Raw genomic sequence first — 16,546 nt, 5'->3', positions numbered from 1 at the left:
TGGGATCAGTGCCTTTCTAAGAGGGCTTGAGGGAGAGAGTTTGTCCCTTTTACCCTTCTGATACTGCGAGAAGGCACCGTACTGGAAGCAGAAAGCAAGCCCTTACCAAACACCAATCTGCTGGTGCCAAATCTTAGACTTCTCCAGCCTCCAGAAGTGCAAGAAGTAAATATTATTTATAAATTCTTAGTCTATGGCATTTTGTTACAGCAGCAGGAATAGACTAAGACAATGTGTTGATAGGTTTAGGGTCATGTTTTACTTTTTCAGTCATGTTAAATTTTAGATGGTTCTAAAGTCAAAACTCTAGAAAAAGTTAAATTCACAGAATAGCTTCCATCCTCATCTCCTTCCTTCCCCTGCTAACAATTTTTATTAGCTTTGGGTTTACTCGTTTCTTTTTGAAACATAAGCAAATACACCTATGTGCATACATTCACATTTCTCACCCTTTCTTACACAAATGTAGTGGGTATACCATAAATGTTCTGCACTTTGCTTTTCCACTTACTCTATCCTGGAGACCATTTTACGTTATATAGAACTCTTCATTGTTTTGTGACTTAAGTACTCCCTCATGTGGATGCACCATAATACATTCCTGTTAAATAGACACGAGTATTTTTAATCTTTTGCATATAGCATTCCAAATTTTTCTAAATGTACCTTTCAGAGCCCAGAAAGAAGTTAAAATTCTGGGTCAAAGGATAAATGAATATGTCATTCTGATGGTTATTACCAAATACTCTTTCTGAGACAAGAGTCTTACTCTGTCACCCAGGCTGGAGTGCAGTGGCACAATCTCAGCTCACTGCAACCTCTGCCTCCCGGGTTCCAGTGATTCTCGTCCCTCGGCTTCCCAGGTTCAAGTGATTCTTGTCCTTCAGTCTCCCGAGTAGCTGGAGTTACAGGCATCTGCCACCATGCCCAGCTAGTTTTTTTTATTTTCAGTAGAGACAGGGTTTCACCATGTTGGCCAGATGGTCTTGAACTCCTGACCTCAAGTGATCCGCCCACCTTGGCCTCCCAAGGTGTTGGGATTACAGGTGTGAGCCACTGCACCTGCCCAAATATTCTTGTTAACCAAAGTTTAACTTTTGCATTCCATTCCCATATATGTGTCCTTATTTCTCCACAGCCTCAACTCAATACAGTTGTTTTTATACTTCTTTTTCAAGTGAAAGGTAAAAACACTGGTTTATTCTCTTCTGAACAAGGTGAGCATCTTTACATGTTAAAGGTCATTTACATTTCTTTTTGTATGAAGTATTCTTAATTATTGGAATCCTGTCAATACATTGTTTGCCTTGGGTTATGGTGGGGTTTTTCTTGTCCTATAAACATTTTTATGTAGTTAAAATTGATCAATAGTTTTATTTATTTCTTCTAGGTTTTAAGTCACATATAATGTCGTTTTCCTCCATTTTCTTCTAGTATTTGTATGCTTTACTTTTTACAATTAGATCGTCAGGCGGCTTGGAATATATCTATATGCCTATTTTCAGTTATCTTAGTATCATTAAAAACCCATCTTTACCCCACTTTTACCATATTCTGTAACTTTCATATGCATTGTGTCTGCTATTCTGTTCATGTGTCAACCCCAATTACAGAGGCATAATGTGTTTCAGTATTTACTTATAGCTATCCTATACATAAACTGTTTCTGTATTTTAAATCCTACCACTTCTTCCAAATTCCCATATTAATTGTAGCTTTAGTTTAGTTTACCCTTCTGGATTTTTCCTGTGTGTCTAACGGCTTTTTTTTTTTTTTTTTTTTTAATGAGACAGGTTCTCAATCTGTTACCCAAGCTGCAGTACAGTGGCATCATCATAGCTCACTGCAGCCTTAAACTCCTGGGCTGAAGTGATCCTCCAGCCTTAGTAGCTGGGATTACGGGCGCCAGCCTTCATGCCTGGCTTCAATTGCTTTCTCTGATCTAACTGTGTTGGCTAATACCTCCAGGAAAATAAAGTAATGGAGATCACAGGCACTGGTCCTGACTTCAGGGGGAATAGGAGTAATTCCTACTAAAAGCCTGATTTTTCTGACATACTCCTAGACAAATAAATCATAAAACTGTTCTAATGAAGAAAAACTTAACTTTATTGAGCATAGGAATAGACGGGCTTTCAAATTATTTTTTGCTTTATGGTTATTACTTTTATAAACCATCTGATCCACGGCAAAACTAACTGGTACCATACAAAGATATGTCTATTATTGTCATGTTTAGATTTTCTATTCCACATTCATTGACAAATATATTTAAATCTAGATAGAAACACCTGTGATTGAATTAGTGCATGGTAATGCATGGCATATACATTGCTTAAGGTGGTAATAAGGGGTCAGATGCTCTACAGCAACCTTCAAGCACAGGCACCGATTTGCATTTTATGCAAAACTTCAGGTTTTACTCAATTTTTACACTGGTGGAAGCTGATGTCAGTAACTTAAAAGGCAAGCAAATACTTTTCCAATTCTTAGCTGAACAAAAAATACACACAATGTAGCGTTTTTATTGGGCAAGACTTGCTTTTTATATTTCACGTGAGAATGCAATATAACCCTTCCTTGAACAAAATGACCAGGGTACTAATAAAACCATCTTTGCAGGAGTGTTTAATAAGCATATTTTATTTAAATAAATCCTCCAGTAGGAAATGGAGAATTCATTGCCTTTACTTAGAAGGCTATGTAAATAGCTATCTGTCAAATTTATATATGCAGCTCACCAATATTCCCTTACTGGAAACATCAGTATTTCCACATCACATCACAGTTCCCAAAACGACTTTAAAGTCTCAAAATTCCGTGTCTCCTTTGGCTTGCTTCTCTCTTGATTCCACCCAGGCTTTATTAATGGTTCGCTTCATATCATCGTCTCCATCTTCATAAATTTTCTTTAGAACATTCATCAATCCCTCACTAGGATCTGTTTCAGTGTCATAGGAGGGCTTCCTTTAAAAAGAAAACATATACAACAATGGGGAAACGAAAGCACCGGAAGATACTATCATTCAGGTTGTTAACACTGGCAGGAAGTAGAGGGATAAGAAGGAAGACAGAGTACCCAAAGATATTTACAATCAAAACGGCACGCACAAATTCATCTTAATGAAAACAACACACACGTATCAAGCATGCACACACTTGGTGCACGAAAGAGGTCATCAAAATAGTTAGGGGCTATTTTTAGGCACAGGGATTTCCCATGATTTTTTTTTTTTTTTTTTTTTTGAGACAGTCCTGCTCTGTTGCCCAGGCTGGAGTGCAGTGGCGCATCTCGGTTCACTGCAACCTCCGCCTCCCAGGTTCAAACAATTCTGTCTGCCTCAGCCTCCCGAGTAGCTGGGATTACAGGCACATGCCACCATGCCCGGCTAATTTTTGTATTTTTAGTAGAGACAGAGTTTCACCATGTTGGCCAGGCTGGTCTCAAACTCCTGACCTCAGGTGATCCGCCCGCCTCAGCCTCCCAAAGTGCTAGGATTACAGGCGTGAGCCACCCCACCTGGCCTCCTGTGATTTTTGACAGGTAAAATAAGAATTTGATTTTCTAACTTGTTTTCATTTTTTAAAAGCATGTTTCCTCATAATTTGAAAAAAAACACTTGAGGGAAAATCATAAACATTACACATGGATGTACCCTGAAGCTCATGTATTTTTTAATTAGAAAAACTCTCCTCTTAAGCCTGAGATACACAGATCTGGGCCTGGGTCTTGAATTAATTTAGTCAGTACCTTTAGAAGATGAACTGACCTAGAACGCAAGTATCATTGAATACACATTTTTAAAAGGTCATTATTAAGAAGGATAAAAATATTTTATCTTTTTCACTATAAACCAGTGACAATGAAAACTACGCATCAGAAGCATCTGAGAAATTTAAAACATACAGGGGTACCTAAGCCCCTCTCAAACTACCGAAACAGAGTATCTGGGAATGGGCACAGTTATTTGTATAGAAGCACAACTGCGCCTAGGGTTAAGAACCACACTAAAGAGCCAACCCTTAACTACAAAGACCTTAAAAAGCAACTTGCTGGACGTGCCCTCTTCAGGTAGTTTGACAGTTGAAAGCAGAAATACATTATCCATAAAGACAAACTATTAAAAATCCATGATCTCAAACAATACACTAAAATTCTTTAAAAAAATGGAAGTAGACTCACTCTTTTTCTTTGCACTCCTTTTCAACCTGGGTCAGGTAATCCCACCTTGTGTTTTCCACTTTCTTTCTACACAATATAAGAACTGTATCAGTCTTGACCTGGAAGAAAAGCAGGAAAACAAATACAGCTTAGAAGACATGGAGATAAGCATGAATATTTATAAAACAATTATCTATTCAATTGATCAAGTCCCTAGTATGTATAGACTTATTTTGGGTGCCAGTAATACTTGTATGAATAGGCCAAAATCTGAACATTCATGGTGTGAAAAGACCATAAATAAGTAAAACTTGAATACCCTGATATCCTGGAAAGTGCTATCAAGACAAAGCGGGTGTTAATGGGGGGTGGGGGCAGGAACTTCATTAGGAAGGCCTCTCTGAGGCAAATCTGAGCCGAAGCCTAAGGTCAGGAGAAGGCAGTTGGCAGAGCATGCAGAATGGCTCCAAGATGGGATCATCTTGGTGTGTTTGAGGAGCAGGAGGAGTGGCTGGATTTTAGTGACTGAAAAAGACAGTAATATAATAAGAGGGGTCGGGGATAGGCAAGAAACCAAGTCGTATAAGGCAGTATGGGGCAAGGTGAGGCATTTGAAAGTGAGAAAGAAGGGCAATGTACAGGTCTTTTAAACAATGATCAATACTAGGGATCTTTTGGTACTCTACCTATGGGACTAGCGGATGCAGAAGGGTGCAGTAAGACAGCGAATCCAACTATATTTGAGTATCACCTGTAAGCTGTTAAGTAATTATGTATTATAAAAACAGATGGCAGAATGTCATGTCTATATACCTAACGCATTAAACTTCATTTATTCACATTAGGCAGAAAACAGGGACTATCTGATTTAGTAAAAATTACAAAGAGTAGTTTTTAAAAGACAGTTTCCTTATTTTTATAGCTGCTTCTAACTCCAAGGAGGCTAAGTGCTTAAGACCTCCTTTTATGTATACGAGTATTATGCACAATGCTAACACTAGCATTAATTTAAGCACTTTACATAATGGTATTGCACTTCAGTGTATCATTTCAACTTTGTGAAATAAATTATTACTATCGCATAAATGCAGAAACTGAGGCACAGAGTGATTAAGCTGCCAAAGGTCACAAACAATAAGCTGTAAACCTGGCATAAAACTCAAGTCTCACTCTTAACTACCTTCAAACGTTTACTTCCTCCCTGATTTTAATGGAATATTCTTACAATAGCCTATTCTACAAAAGGAGTTGGCAAATGTTCTCTGTCGAGGGCCGCATAGTAAATATTTTAGGTTTCATTTAGGGCCATATGGTCTGCTGTAGCCACTTAACTCTGCCATTGTAGCACAAAAGCATCCACAAACAACACATGAACAAATAAGCCTGGCTATGTCCCAATAAAACATTCACAAAACAGGCGGTGGTCCCTGTTACAGAGGACAAATTCATTCCAGTTCATCTCAGTTCTAAATCAGCCAGGTTCAATTTGGTAAGGTTTCACAATATTACAATCAAAAAAAGCACACTCACTTTTTTTGAACTGCCTTCCACAGAGATGGGTTTCAAGAGATTGTTCACAATCATGGAGTAACTCTTCCCATTTAGATTCTTTACCAAAAGATCAAATGACCTGCAACACAATGGTGAATACATCATCTTTCTAGTTCTATGAAAGGTACCCTTACTCCATAGTTCTTGTGGGAAAAAAGCTGCTGGCTTTATTTCAGGGTGTGCATTTGGCCAGTTAACGCTCACCTCTTCAAAGTAGTTGTAAAGGATAATTAATTCTAAATTTAAGAATTTTAAAAACTGCAAAGAAGAGAGTCTCAAGATAAGGCAATGTTGACTGTTAATTCACTGTCTTTCCCATTATAATGAGAACTCACCTCTCTGTGAAATGCACCTGCACATTCTCAGTGGGAACTTGATGAACTCCAGTTAAGGTAATGTAGATTTTCACAAACTTATCTGACTGATCCCATCCTGGCAACGACAACAAAAGATGGGACGTAAGTAAGCCTCTGAAACTATCTTTAGAACAGCAAATGCACATGGCTCATAAGTCAGGAAAGTAAAATTATGAAAATCCAGTCATATAAACATGAAAAAATTTGAAATATAAGAAATTTTCTAGGTTGAGAAATGGAGCCTCAAAGCAGTTAAGTACTCTACCCAAAGCTAGGCATCTAACAAGTGGTAGAATTCAGATTCAAATCCAGGTTTCTGAATACAAAACCTATGCTCTTTTTATCCCTCAGAATAAAAATATGATCACTAAATACATTCTTTAAGATTAGTTCATTTACAGCTTTTATGGAAACAATTTTGTCCGACATCTAAATATTGGTAGTTCTCCACTAAGCTGGATGGCTAAGTATCAATACTAATTCCATAACCATTTCTACTTCTGTAAGTAGTCAAACAAATGGAATCCTAGCTCTCTTAATTCCTTTCCAGGGCAAAGTAGAATGTAAAAGACTCCAATTCTTCATCCAAATCTGACAAACCTACTGGTATCTGTTAAATGCCATTTCAGTATGTATTATCAAACTACCAGCACGTCTCTGACCTAGAAGAACTCTGTCAACATAAAAGACATATATATAAATACTTCACAAAATACCATCACATTTGTAGAAAATAAAAAACTTCACAAAAAAGCATCTTCTGTTTATCAAGAATATATACATACATATCCCTGACTATTGCTCACTTAGTCCTATAGAATAGAAACATGCCCCATCCTCCATGACGTTTTTCACATTGCATGCCTATATCAAACATCTCATGTACCCCATAAATATATACACCTACTATGTACCCTCGAAAATTAAAAAGAAACAGTGTTGATGAAAAAATGCCCTAGTGGGGTCCAGAGAACTTCATTTATTAATAGTTTCTTCCCATTCAGTCAGTCCATCCTCCGGATTGACAAGTTTCTCCCTCAACACAAATCTATGTTCCTGGTTAAAATACCATAATCCTCAACACCTTCAGACCAGTTTCCTATACTCAACTGAGTACACGGTGCAATTTCCTATATTACTATATAGTACATCTCTTAAGCACGACATACACATGCTTTTCACTATTAACAATATTCAAAATAGATCATGCCTTCCAACTCTCTATTCACATTCTCTGCTCATGCTGTTCCCCTCCTTTTTGACTTGCTGAATGTACGACTCACCCTTCACACTCAAATCTCTCTAATTCTCCCTGTTCCTCACCTCCAGAATTATTTCTTCAGCTATGTTACCTATTATGTGCTAGACATTATTAGCACAAAGAAAAACAAGACTGTCCTTGCTCCAATGAGAGCTCATCATTCATATTCAAGTTGCGCTGCCGCCAAAACAAAAAACTGTATACACCATTGAAGGAAAACAGTATTACTACATTGTTATACTACGAGTTATACGTCAATGTCCCAACCACAACATGAGCAAGGACTGGGTCTTAGTCACTGTTGTGTATCCGTAAGTCAAAGCACAATAGTGATACACATTAGGTGCTCAAAAATATTTCCTGAATTTAACTGGATTCCTCTCCTCAGTTAATTGTGGTGGTTGGCAGAGTGAAACATAAAACATGATTAAAAACCACCACCACCACCACCACCACCAAAGCTGTGTCTTATACTGAACAATTTCAGAATAAGTTCCTTCCTTGTTGTTACATTTTGTAGTGAATCACCTTACTCTTGTTAACAGCTTCTAGAACGCATCCTTTCCTATTTATATCTTAAAAAAGTTTTATTAAATAAAAACTGATGGGTCTTGCTCCAAACCACCAAAAACACAGACTCAAAACTCATTGGGGATGAATTTGTTAGACCACTATGAGGAATAGGTTGCTCGGAGGCAGAACTGGCTATAGGGAAGCAAGTCATACCATAATTACTGATTTTCACCGTATAGCCCGTTGTAATGGGAGCAACCACAGCAGCTGGTTTTTCATTATCAAGAAGTTCTGCTTTCTTCTGTGATTTCTGTTGCATCTTGTTCTTGATTTCTGTCTCAATCTTGGATTTTTCAGCTGTAAGGGCATCACGTACTCTTTTCCTAGTAGCCTTTTCCAGCAACACCTTTACCTCTTCTAGATCTTTCTGTAGCTGTGTTAAGACAAAAAATAAGTTAGCTATGATAAATAAGGAAATGGCTTGATATTGTGCGTATCACTCATTTCAACTTACTGAAATAAGCACTAAGAATTAAGAAGTTCATCTAAATTTTCTAGGATTGAGTTGCAACTTCAATTCTTCCATCTGGCTTATTAACTGTAATTAACTCAAGCTTCCTTTTTTTCAAAAGGAAAACTTTGAACAATCTTGAACAAACAATAAATAGGTCTTCAAACCTAAATTTTCCAGTTTATGTTTTAAAATATTTACAAGAAACGTCTGCGACCTAAAAAGTAAAACAAAGAACTTTTTTTTGACAAAGGATTCATAGATTTCCTTGTAACATCTAATCCGAGTGTCATTAGATGTTAGACACTTTTAAAATATTTAAGAGATGAGAGAACATGCAGTGACCATGGTAAAATGCTTTTATAGCAAACTTAACTGAGGTAATGAATGCTCCACTTTCTGTCACTGATTGGTCTTCATTATCTTCCCACCTCAAATACCTCACATAAAAAAAGTCTTAATTTTTAAGACAAAAGATAAAAAAAAAAATTTCTGCTTTTGAGGAAAAGTCTTGCTCTGAAGCTGGGTCAGTCTTACACTCAGAAGTGTAGGAGTTGGTTGCACAGAAGGTGACAAAAGACCGAAAATGCAACATACTCTTGGAAATTATCTTTTGAAAAAGCCACCACGTTCTCATTTTCTTCTCTTGCCAATCCATCATCTATTAAAGTCTACTACTTTCTACTTTCTAGAGATAGAGGCAACATTTTATGAAATTCAAGAGTTAAAGACAATGTTAGAAAATTATTGAGCCTAAGTTTTTTTTCCCCCAATTACCCTCTGACATACTGCAAATACACAAGATCTTTCCAAACAGCTGTTTCACTTTTCTTACAATAACTTTACACTCTGGCTTGACACTACCAACTTGACCAAAAAAATCTTGTGTCACAGCTTGATATCAAAAGCTCAATTTAAAAAAGTCTTTTAGTGCTTTATAACTCAGAATATCAGACGCACAACAGAGTTTGAAAGCCTGTTTCTTAATAGTCTTATAAAATGCAATAACAGAACTAATTCTTTTCTTTTACTACAAGTCTTTTGTTATCTCATTTAACTCAGATGCCCTAGTTTTGCCTATCTATAACAGATGACATGGTATAAAAAGTTCAACTCTGGCCAGGTGCAGTGGCTCACACCTGTAATCCCAGTACTTTGGGAGGCCAAAGCGGGTGGATCACTTGAGGTTAGGGGTTCGAGACCAACATGACCAACACGGCGAAAGCCCGTCTCTACTTAAAATTCAAAAATTTGCCGGGTGTGGTGGCACGTGCCTGTAATCCCAGCTACTCGGGAAGCTGAGGCAGAAGAATCGCTTGAACCCGGGAGGCAAAGGTTGCAGTGACCCGAGATCGCGCCATTGCACTCCAGCCCGGGCAACAAGAGCAAAACTCGGTCTCCCAAAAAAAAAAAAAAATCAACTCTGCCCAACCCTCTTGTCCACACTCTCGACCCTTCCAAGAACAGCTCATATTACTATGACAAAAAATCTTGCAAACTCATCTTTTGAGCATAGAACCAAAATGTTTCAGTTCAAAGTAATATTTTTATTGTAATGGTTTCAAAAAAACGCTGATTCTACAACTCCTAATTCATAATAAAAATATTGAAATGTAAAATGAAATATATTAAGTCTAAGCAAGAGGTTTTGCTTTTTGACTGAAATAGGAATACTTTATCTAGCAGAATGAGAAAGGTACTTCGAATTAGGCAAGGGATTCCCCCAATGGCTGAATTCCCAAGCCCTCTTTATTGCCAGTTTTGACTCTAAAGTACTCTTTTTATTATGAAGTATCCACTGAAAAAACTTAAAACTGAGACAGTTCCTCAGTTCTGTTATTGGCAGACTTGAAACCAACAAAGGTGATTCCTTTGATGCTTTTTCTGCACAAATACTTTAAGATGTCCTAGTTTCCTATCTAATTTATCATGTAATTTTCCTTGCCTTCTTGGCATGTGTTTGTTTTACGTATATAAAAATTTTATTTCTCTTTTATCCCTACCCATAAGGCATTCAAGCTTTATCTTCCTATTTCCTAATTTTTCACTAGGAGGCATTAACACCAATGTGCCTCAAAAATGGGCAAAGGAATTCAACACACATTTCTCCAAAGACACAGAAATGGACACCAAGAACATTAAAGATGCTCAACATCTTCATCATTGGGTAAACGCATATCAAATTCCCAAGATGCCACTTCACACCCAGTAGGATGGTATCATAAACCGAAAAAGAAAAATAAAACACCCCAGAAAATAACAAATGTTGATAATGATGTGGAGAAACTTTCAGAAGCTTCAAACATTTCTTACAGGAATATGATGCAACCACTCTGGAAACAGTCTAACAGTTTCTCAGAAAGTTACCATATGAACCAGTAATTCCACTCCTAGGTATATACCCCAGAGAACTGAAAACACATCCACACAAAAAACTTGGATACAGTACTCGCAGCAGCATTATTTATGCTAGTCACGAAGTGGAAATAAGGCCAGGCGCCATGGCTCACACCTGTAATCCCAGCACTTTCAGAGGCCGAGGCGGGCGGGCGGATCACTTGAGATCAGGAGTTCGAGACCAGCCTGGCCAACGTGGTGAAACCCCGTCGCTACTAAAAATACAAAAATTAGCCGGGCATGGTGGCGCGCGCCTGTAATCCCAGCTTCTCAGGAGGCTAAGGCAGGAGAATCCTTTGAACCCGGGAGACGGAGATTGCAGTGAGCCGAGATTGCGCCATTGCACTCCAGCCTGGGCGACAGAGCGAGACTCCGTCTCAAACAAAGAAGTGGAAATAAATGTCCATAAACGGATGAAAGGATAAACACAATGTGCCACATGCATATAATAGAATATTATTTAGCCATAAAGAGCATGTGTACTGATACACGCTACACCATGGATGAACTTGAAAATGTTAGTGCTAAGTTGAAGGAGCCAAAAAACAAAAGGCCACATACAGCGTGACTCCATTTATATGAAATGCCTACAATAGGCAAATTCACAGAAAGTACAAGATGAGTAGTTGTCAGGGGCTGAGGGAGGAATGGGAAGCAATTGTTTAAAACACACTACATGGTTTCTTTCTGGAGTGATGAAAATGTCCTGAAACTAGACAGTGGTGATGGCTGCACTACACTGTGAATATATTTAAACAAAAAACAAATACCTGAATTGTACACTTTAAAATGGTTAAAAACTTGAATTTTATCTCAAACAAAACAAAAATCAAGTGCCCTCAAATGTATATTTCTAAGTGCCTAAACTGAGAACGATCTCTACTTTCAAGAGGACTAACACTGAGCTATCCACCTGCAAGACTGTGAAGTTATCTCCTAGGGGCACATAGTACCCAAGACCTACCTTAAAAGACTTGTCACAAGATACCCAGATTAATACTGGAACACACAAACCTCATAGTTTTTCTTCATTTAAAGAAAAGATTTTGAGTTTAAAAAACAAAAACAAAACAAAACAAAAGCTTGGGACTCCCCAGTACTTGTTTTCATAAAGCAAATCTAGTTAATACACACCCAACACTTAACTGTGAATAACTGTCCCGTCTTCACCTCCCACTTACGCCAGGAAATGAGCAATACAAGTACTATCATTCCCATTTTCTAACTGAGCAAACTAAGTCTCCACAAAATTTAATTCTCCAACGTTCAGAGTTTACAGAGCTTTAACACAGGCCATTCGCTTTCTTACTATTAATTACAACTAACTTTCCAAGTTATTTATTTTAAAAATCACATACAGCAGATTGCTGTTTGCCAATCACTGACTTAAACACCTAGAAATCATATTTTTTAACAACCCTATGAAATGGATGCTACTGCGACACAGAGAAGCTAAACAACTTGCCCAGAGTAACACAGCTCCTCGTGTGTAGAGAAAACCTGACTAGGAGAATTCAAGTGCTAGCACTGAGAACTCACCTTCCAACCGCCCTCTACCAAGAACGACACTCATGTTTGCACCCAGCTTTGCTTGAATGAAGCTTCCTGTCCACTGGCTGGGAAACCAGGGCAGAAAGGGCCTGAGGAACACGCGCAAAGGGCCGCTCTCCCAGACCCACTCCCCGCACCGCCTGCACGGATAATCGCCGCACACCCCCGCTCGAGCCCAGCAGGCGAGTGGGGTGCGAGGTCGAGTGGAAGCGCTGGGGAGCCGACGGCGCAGCAAGGGGCGAGTGAGGTGTCCCCCGGGAAGGCGGCGCACTGACTGGCGCGGGACCGGGTGGCCGCAGGGCGGCTCAGCCCACGGAAACGGCGGTAGGGCGGGAGGCTGGCGCTGCAGCTCCAGCCGGGGGGCATAAGGAATATGGGGCCGGACCACTTACCTCTTCTGAAGCCATGGGGGCTGGGTCAGGCCGAAGTCCCGAGCTGCAGCCGCGCAGAAGGAGGAACAGGAAACCCCGCGCCGAGCCCTCAAACCGAGCGCAGACGCCTACCCGCACGAGTCGCGGCGCTGCAGCCTGCGCCCACACCGACCCTGCGCAAGATCGCGGCCCGCCTCCCGCACGCGACGGATCTCGAACCTTCGCGAGGCAGCCGCCGCCACCGCCCACCGCGAGCACGCACAGCCCGCCAAGCCTGGCTCCACCCACCCTTCCTCGCCTCGCCGAGCCTAGCCCCACCCCTCCCCGCCCCGCCGAGTCTGGCTCCGCCCGCCTGCCGAATCTCCTAGCAACGCTCAAGTCTCGCGAGCGAACCGGCAATCCGAGAAGAGTAATGTCTTGCTCTCCGCCCTGACAACTTTTATGTATTATAATTTGACCGCGCTGGGCCACGCTGCGCAGTCGCAGCTCGGAACCGCTGCGTTAACCCAGCCCCGGAAATAACGTACCGATCTTCGGAGTCCAAGTCGGAAGTTGACTAGAGAGTCACCTGCTTTCGTCCGCTCTAGGACACCAGACACACCAGGCCGCCATGTTGTGTAAGGTTAGTCTCTCAGCCTCCGCGAGAAGAAGGCGAAAAATGGGGAGGAGCAGCCTGGTTACTTTCAAACGAGAAAGAACGGATATGTTAAGCGTGGAGGGCTCCTAATGGTAGCGGTTTGATTTTCAGTGAGTTTGGCGCGGTGGAGACGTCACCGCGGTCTAACAGTTCCGACGTGGTGGCGTCATCACTGGCCGCCGTAGGAGGTGGAGCTACGTTGGCCTCGTGACCGGGCCCTGTAGCGGAAGCCCAGGTCAAGGCCCTAACAAAAGGGCCCGCCTATGGCCACAGTTTCAGGCCCTCCTTTCAGTCATGGACTGTTGAAGCACGATTTCCTGGTGCTTTCGCCCCTTTCACCGACCATTTCAAGAGTCCGTAGTTCTCGCCTGGGTTTGGATTCGGTATAAGTGAGCCTGTTTACCATCAAAGAAAATGGTGAAATGTCTTCTGGAGACGATGTTCTCTTCTGGTTCTAACCCTGTCACTCAGTGAGACCCCCAGAGAAGCCTAGTTTTCAGATTATTCTAGTCCTTGGCAGGCTCAAGATGTCAACAACACGGTTGGAAACAACCCCTGAGAGGTCACATAGCGCGCACTCAGCTTTACAGATCGTCCAAGGCAGCGACCCCTGAGAGGTCACATAGCGCGCACTCAGCTTTATAGATCGTCCAAGGCAGCAATTAGAATCAGCAACTCGGAGAGGAAAAAAAGCTGTTAGCGGAATGGAGGCTGACCATTATCTGTAGTAAAGAATCGGAAGTACAGTACAAAAATAAATTACCGAAACGCAACATGCGTGAATTTCACACAAAAAAATGAAGTTGAGGGAAAGAAGCCAGACATGGAAGAGTTCATATTGCGTGGTTCCATTTAAAAACTAGCCCATGGTGTTAATGAGCATAGTGGGGAGGACAATGACATGAAAGAGCCACCAGGGGGCTTTTGAGGTTCAGGTAATGTTTCTTGATTTGGACACTGATTATAGATAGGTGGGTTCACTTTAGAAATCTCATTGAGTTGTAAACGTATATTTATGTACGTAGTTTTTTCTGTAGATTATGCTTAAGGCCCGGCGAAGGGGAATTTGCCCAGGTAATGGAAATATTACACCGATACATAGAATTGTCAAAGTTCATGGGATGAACTCCTAAGAGCTGTGTATTTTATCGTATAAATTTTTTTAAGTGTCCAACCAATAGCCTGGAATTATTAAGTACATAATTAAATAAAAACAAATATCCCATGGACCTAATGCAGTGAACAGTTACCTCGTTCTCTTAATTGCTCAGGCTAAGGACTCATACCTGAGTCTTCTATCTCAGGCCTTACATCTTATATAACAAGCCTTACTGGCTTAATCTTCAAAATATGTAGCGAATTTAACGAGTTCTCACAACCTCTGCTTCTACCACCTGACGGGGTTTGGGACATGCTACCCAAAAATATGGCACCTAGACATATTGAATACTTTGAACTGAAGGAATTTGAGAAAGAACATATGCAGGAATGTCTCTAACTTTCTTGCACCTTTCTGCTCTGAAGCAGGACGTAATACCCTCATGTGAGAATTGCCCTGTCTATACCTGGAATAAAAGTAACATCTTTATCTCTGAAAACACAGGGACGTAGAGACGAATATGAACATCAGGCCTTGCTAAGTTTCCCCCAGTTTATTACCCTTAGATCACAGTCTTTTAGCCCCATCACATTTTCCCACAATTCTCCATTCTTCTTCAAACCTACTCTAAACAACACTAAGGTTAACTATTTATTCGGGTCTTCATTTCTTTATGAAGTTTCCATGTTATGTAAAACTAACATTAATATTTATGCTTTTCTCTTGTTAATTTGTCTTTTGTTACAGGATCCCCAGCCAGTGAGCCTAAAATGGGTAGAAGGAAAAGATATTTCTTACCCTACGCACCCAGGTCCAAGTCATCATTATTTTGTCTGAAATTTATCTTCCTAACTGATTTCTCTGCTTCCCCATTGTGCCTTAAGAGTTAGTTTTCCACAGAGCAGCTCGAGATATCTTTTCAGATCATTATATCCCTTTGCTTAAAAACCTCTAACAGCTTCCTATTAGGCTTAGAATAAAGTACAAACTCCTTAATGTGAACTTGAGTGTTTTACGTATCTTATCTCACCTTTATGAGCTTCATGTCAGAACCCATCTCTCACCACTCTTCCTTCCCCGCTCCCTGATTTAAACAGTCTGGCACTTTACTTATTCATTGAACCCACTGGGTTTGCTCTTGCCTCCAAGTCTGTACCCAGCTTTCTCTCTACCTGTAATCCTCTTCCTCTAGGTCATCACACAGATCGTTTCTTCACTCTATTTAGGTCTTTCAGAAGTAACACTAAGGGAGGCTTTTCCAGACAATATTATGCAAATATAAATGGACATGTGACAAATACTTTATTCGACTTATTAGTTACTGAGAGTGTATTTGAGTAGCCAGGTATTTATAGGCAATTTAACAATGTAATGTTAGTATAAGGTGGCAAGGTTAGATATAAACCTGTTAATGTCTCACAGGGTAATAAACTATAACTTTTGGTGTTATCTGTTCCACTGGAAAGGAAGTAGGGATTTGCATTCTTACTGGACAAAAATCTACAAGTTAATGTATAGATTCAGTATAGGACTTTTAAATCAATAGTGAACGATGAAATGAACAAAGTACAATCCCCTAGTCCTTGGTTTGACACTGAAAGGACATGCCACTCACCTTTTTGCCTTGTTTCCAAAGTTTGGAATAATTTTCCTTTCAAAATGAAATTATTTCTCATTCAGTTGTCCTATTGCAGGCAGCCTTTACTGCTTCCCCCAGTTAATGTACCTGTCAAGCTTACTCATGATTTCCTAACTGCCAAATTCAATGGATATTTTTAATTTTTTTTTTGCTATGACTCATACTGTTCCCTTCGGGCTTGTCAGCAGATAAATGACCTTCTGGGGACTGTGCAAAATATGGAATGCTTAATGAATTTGTGTGTTATTCTTGTGCAGGGGACACAACAGTCTTCTCTGTAGATTACAGTTTTAGTGTATGTGCTGTTGAAGTGAGCACTTCTGAGTAATTTTGATTGTTTTACTTTTTATGTAAAATTTCACATTGTTTAAAACACCAGATGGGGGCCAGGCATGGTGGCTCATGCCTGCAATCCCAGCACTTTGGGAGGCTGAGGCGAGTGGATTGCTTGGGCTCAGGAGTTTGAGACCAGCCTTGCCATGTGGCAAAACCTTGTCT

At 40.2% G+C, this 16,546-nt stretch overlaps 1 protein-coding gene, 1 long non-coding RNA gene and 1 pseudogene across 4 annotated transcripts, besides 6 other annotated features; 1 reads left to right on the top strand and 2 right to left on the bottom strand.

Annotated features, from left to right (window-relative positions):
• Positions 31-231: a silencer, noted in NCBI's record as "peak469 fragment used in MPRA reporter construct". NCBI's record gives its function as "represses an SCP1 promoter by STARR-seq MPRAs in K562 erythroleukemia cells {active_cell/tissue: K562}" and the evidence as "EXISTENCE:reporter gene assay evidence [ECO:0000049][PMID:32103011]".
• CACYBP (calcyclin binding protein) lies at positions 863-13,455 on the bottom strand. 2 transcript variants are annotated; one of them, NM_001007214.1, is made up of 6 exons: positions 13,201-13,455; positions 8,057-8,276; positions 6,049-6,145; positions 5,693-5,792; positions 4,184-4,281; positions 863-2,967 (listed from the first exon to the last, which is right to left on the bottom strand). In NM_001007214.1, exons 2-6 carry the CDS (start codon positions 8,160-8,162, stop codon positions 2,811-2,813), a joined length of 558 nt encoding a protein of 185 aa, NP_001007215.1. In that variant the 5' UTR covers positions 8,163-8,276; positions 13,201-13,455; the 3' UTR covers positions 863-2,810. The 2 variants fall into 2 exon arrangements, with proteins under 2 accessions (NP_001007215.1, NP_055227.1); NM_014412.3 differs by lacking the exon at positions 13,201-13,455 and adding an exon at positions 12,695-12,943.
• Positions 12,923-13,042: a silencer, noted in NCBI's record as "silent region_1566". NCBI's record gives its function as "represses an Ori minimal core promoter by ATAC-STARR-seq in GM12878 lymphoblastoid cells {active_cell/tissue: GM12878}" and the evidence as "EXISTENCE:reporter gene assay evidence [ECO:0000049][PMID:35858748]".
• Positions 13,073-13,582: an enhancer, noted in NCBI's record as "active region_2127". NCBI's record gives its function as "activates an Ori minimal core promoter by ATAC-STARR-seq in GM12878 lymphoblastoid cells {active_cell/tissue: GM12878}" and the evidence as "EXISTENCE:reporter gene assay evidence [ECO:0000049][PMID:35858748]".
• Positions 13,073-13,822: a biological region, named in NCBI's record as "H3K27ac hESC enhancer GRCh37_chr1:174968357-174968892".
• Positions 13,134-13,670: an enhancer, noted in NCBI's record as "H3K27ac hESC enhancer chr1:174968357-174968892 (GRCh37/hg19 assembly coordinates)". NCBI's record gives its function as "activates a minimal SCP1, AML or CMV promoter by ChIP-STARR-seq in primed H9 embryonic stem cells {active_cell/tissue: H9 hESC(primed)}" and the evidence as "EXISTENCE:reporter gene assay evidence [ECO:0000049][PMID:30033119]".
• LOC105371622 (uncharacterized) lies at positions 13,244-15,411 on the top strand. 2 transcript variants are annotated; one of them, NR_188647.1, is made up of 2 exons: positions 13,244-13,295; positions 15,157-15,411. It is a non-coding gene; the product is annotated as an uncharacterized LOC105371622 (long non-coding RNA). The 2 variants fall into 2 exon arrangements; NR_188648.1 differs by lacking the exon at positions 13,244-13,295 and adding an exon at positions 13,588-14,245.
• Positions 13,613-13,822: an enhancer, noted in NCBI's record as "active region_2126". NCBI's record gives its function as "activates an Ori minimal core promoter by ATAC-STARR-seq in GM12878 lymphoblastoid cells {active_cell/tissue: GM12878}" and the evidence as "EXISTENCE:reporter gene assay evidence [ECO:0000049][PMID:35858748]".
• RNU6-307P (RNA, U6 small nuclear 307, pseudogene) lies at positions 16,261-16,366 on the bottom strand (annotated as a pseudogene).

Source organism: Homo sapiens, chromosome 1 (assembly GCF_000001405.40).
Source record: "Homo sapiens chromosome 1, GRCh38.p14 Primary Assembly".
NCBI classification, from domain to species: Eukaryota; Metazoa; Chordata; class Mammalia; order Primates; family Hominidae; genus Homo; species Homo sapiens.
This window is presented reverse-complemented; position numbering and strand designations above follow the sequence as displayed.

Excerpts from the sequence above, each read along its gene's own strand:
- CACYBP (NM_014412.3), bottom strand. Across the intron at positions 6,146-8,056 it reads GGTGAAAATCAGTAATTATG|GATGGGATCAGTCAGATAAG; the intron begins GTATGACTTGCT and ends TGTCGTTGCCAG. Across the intron at positions 5,793-6,048 it reads CAGGTGCATTTCACAGAGAG|GTCATTTGATCTTTTGGTAA; the intron begins GTGAGTTCTCAT and ends ATTGTGTTGCAG.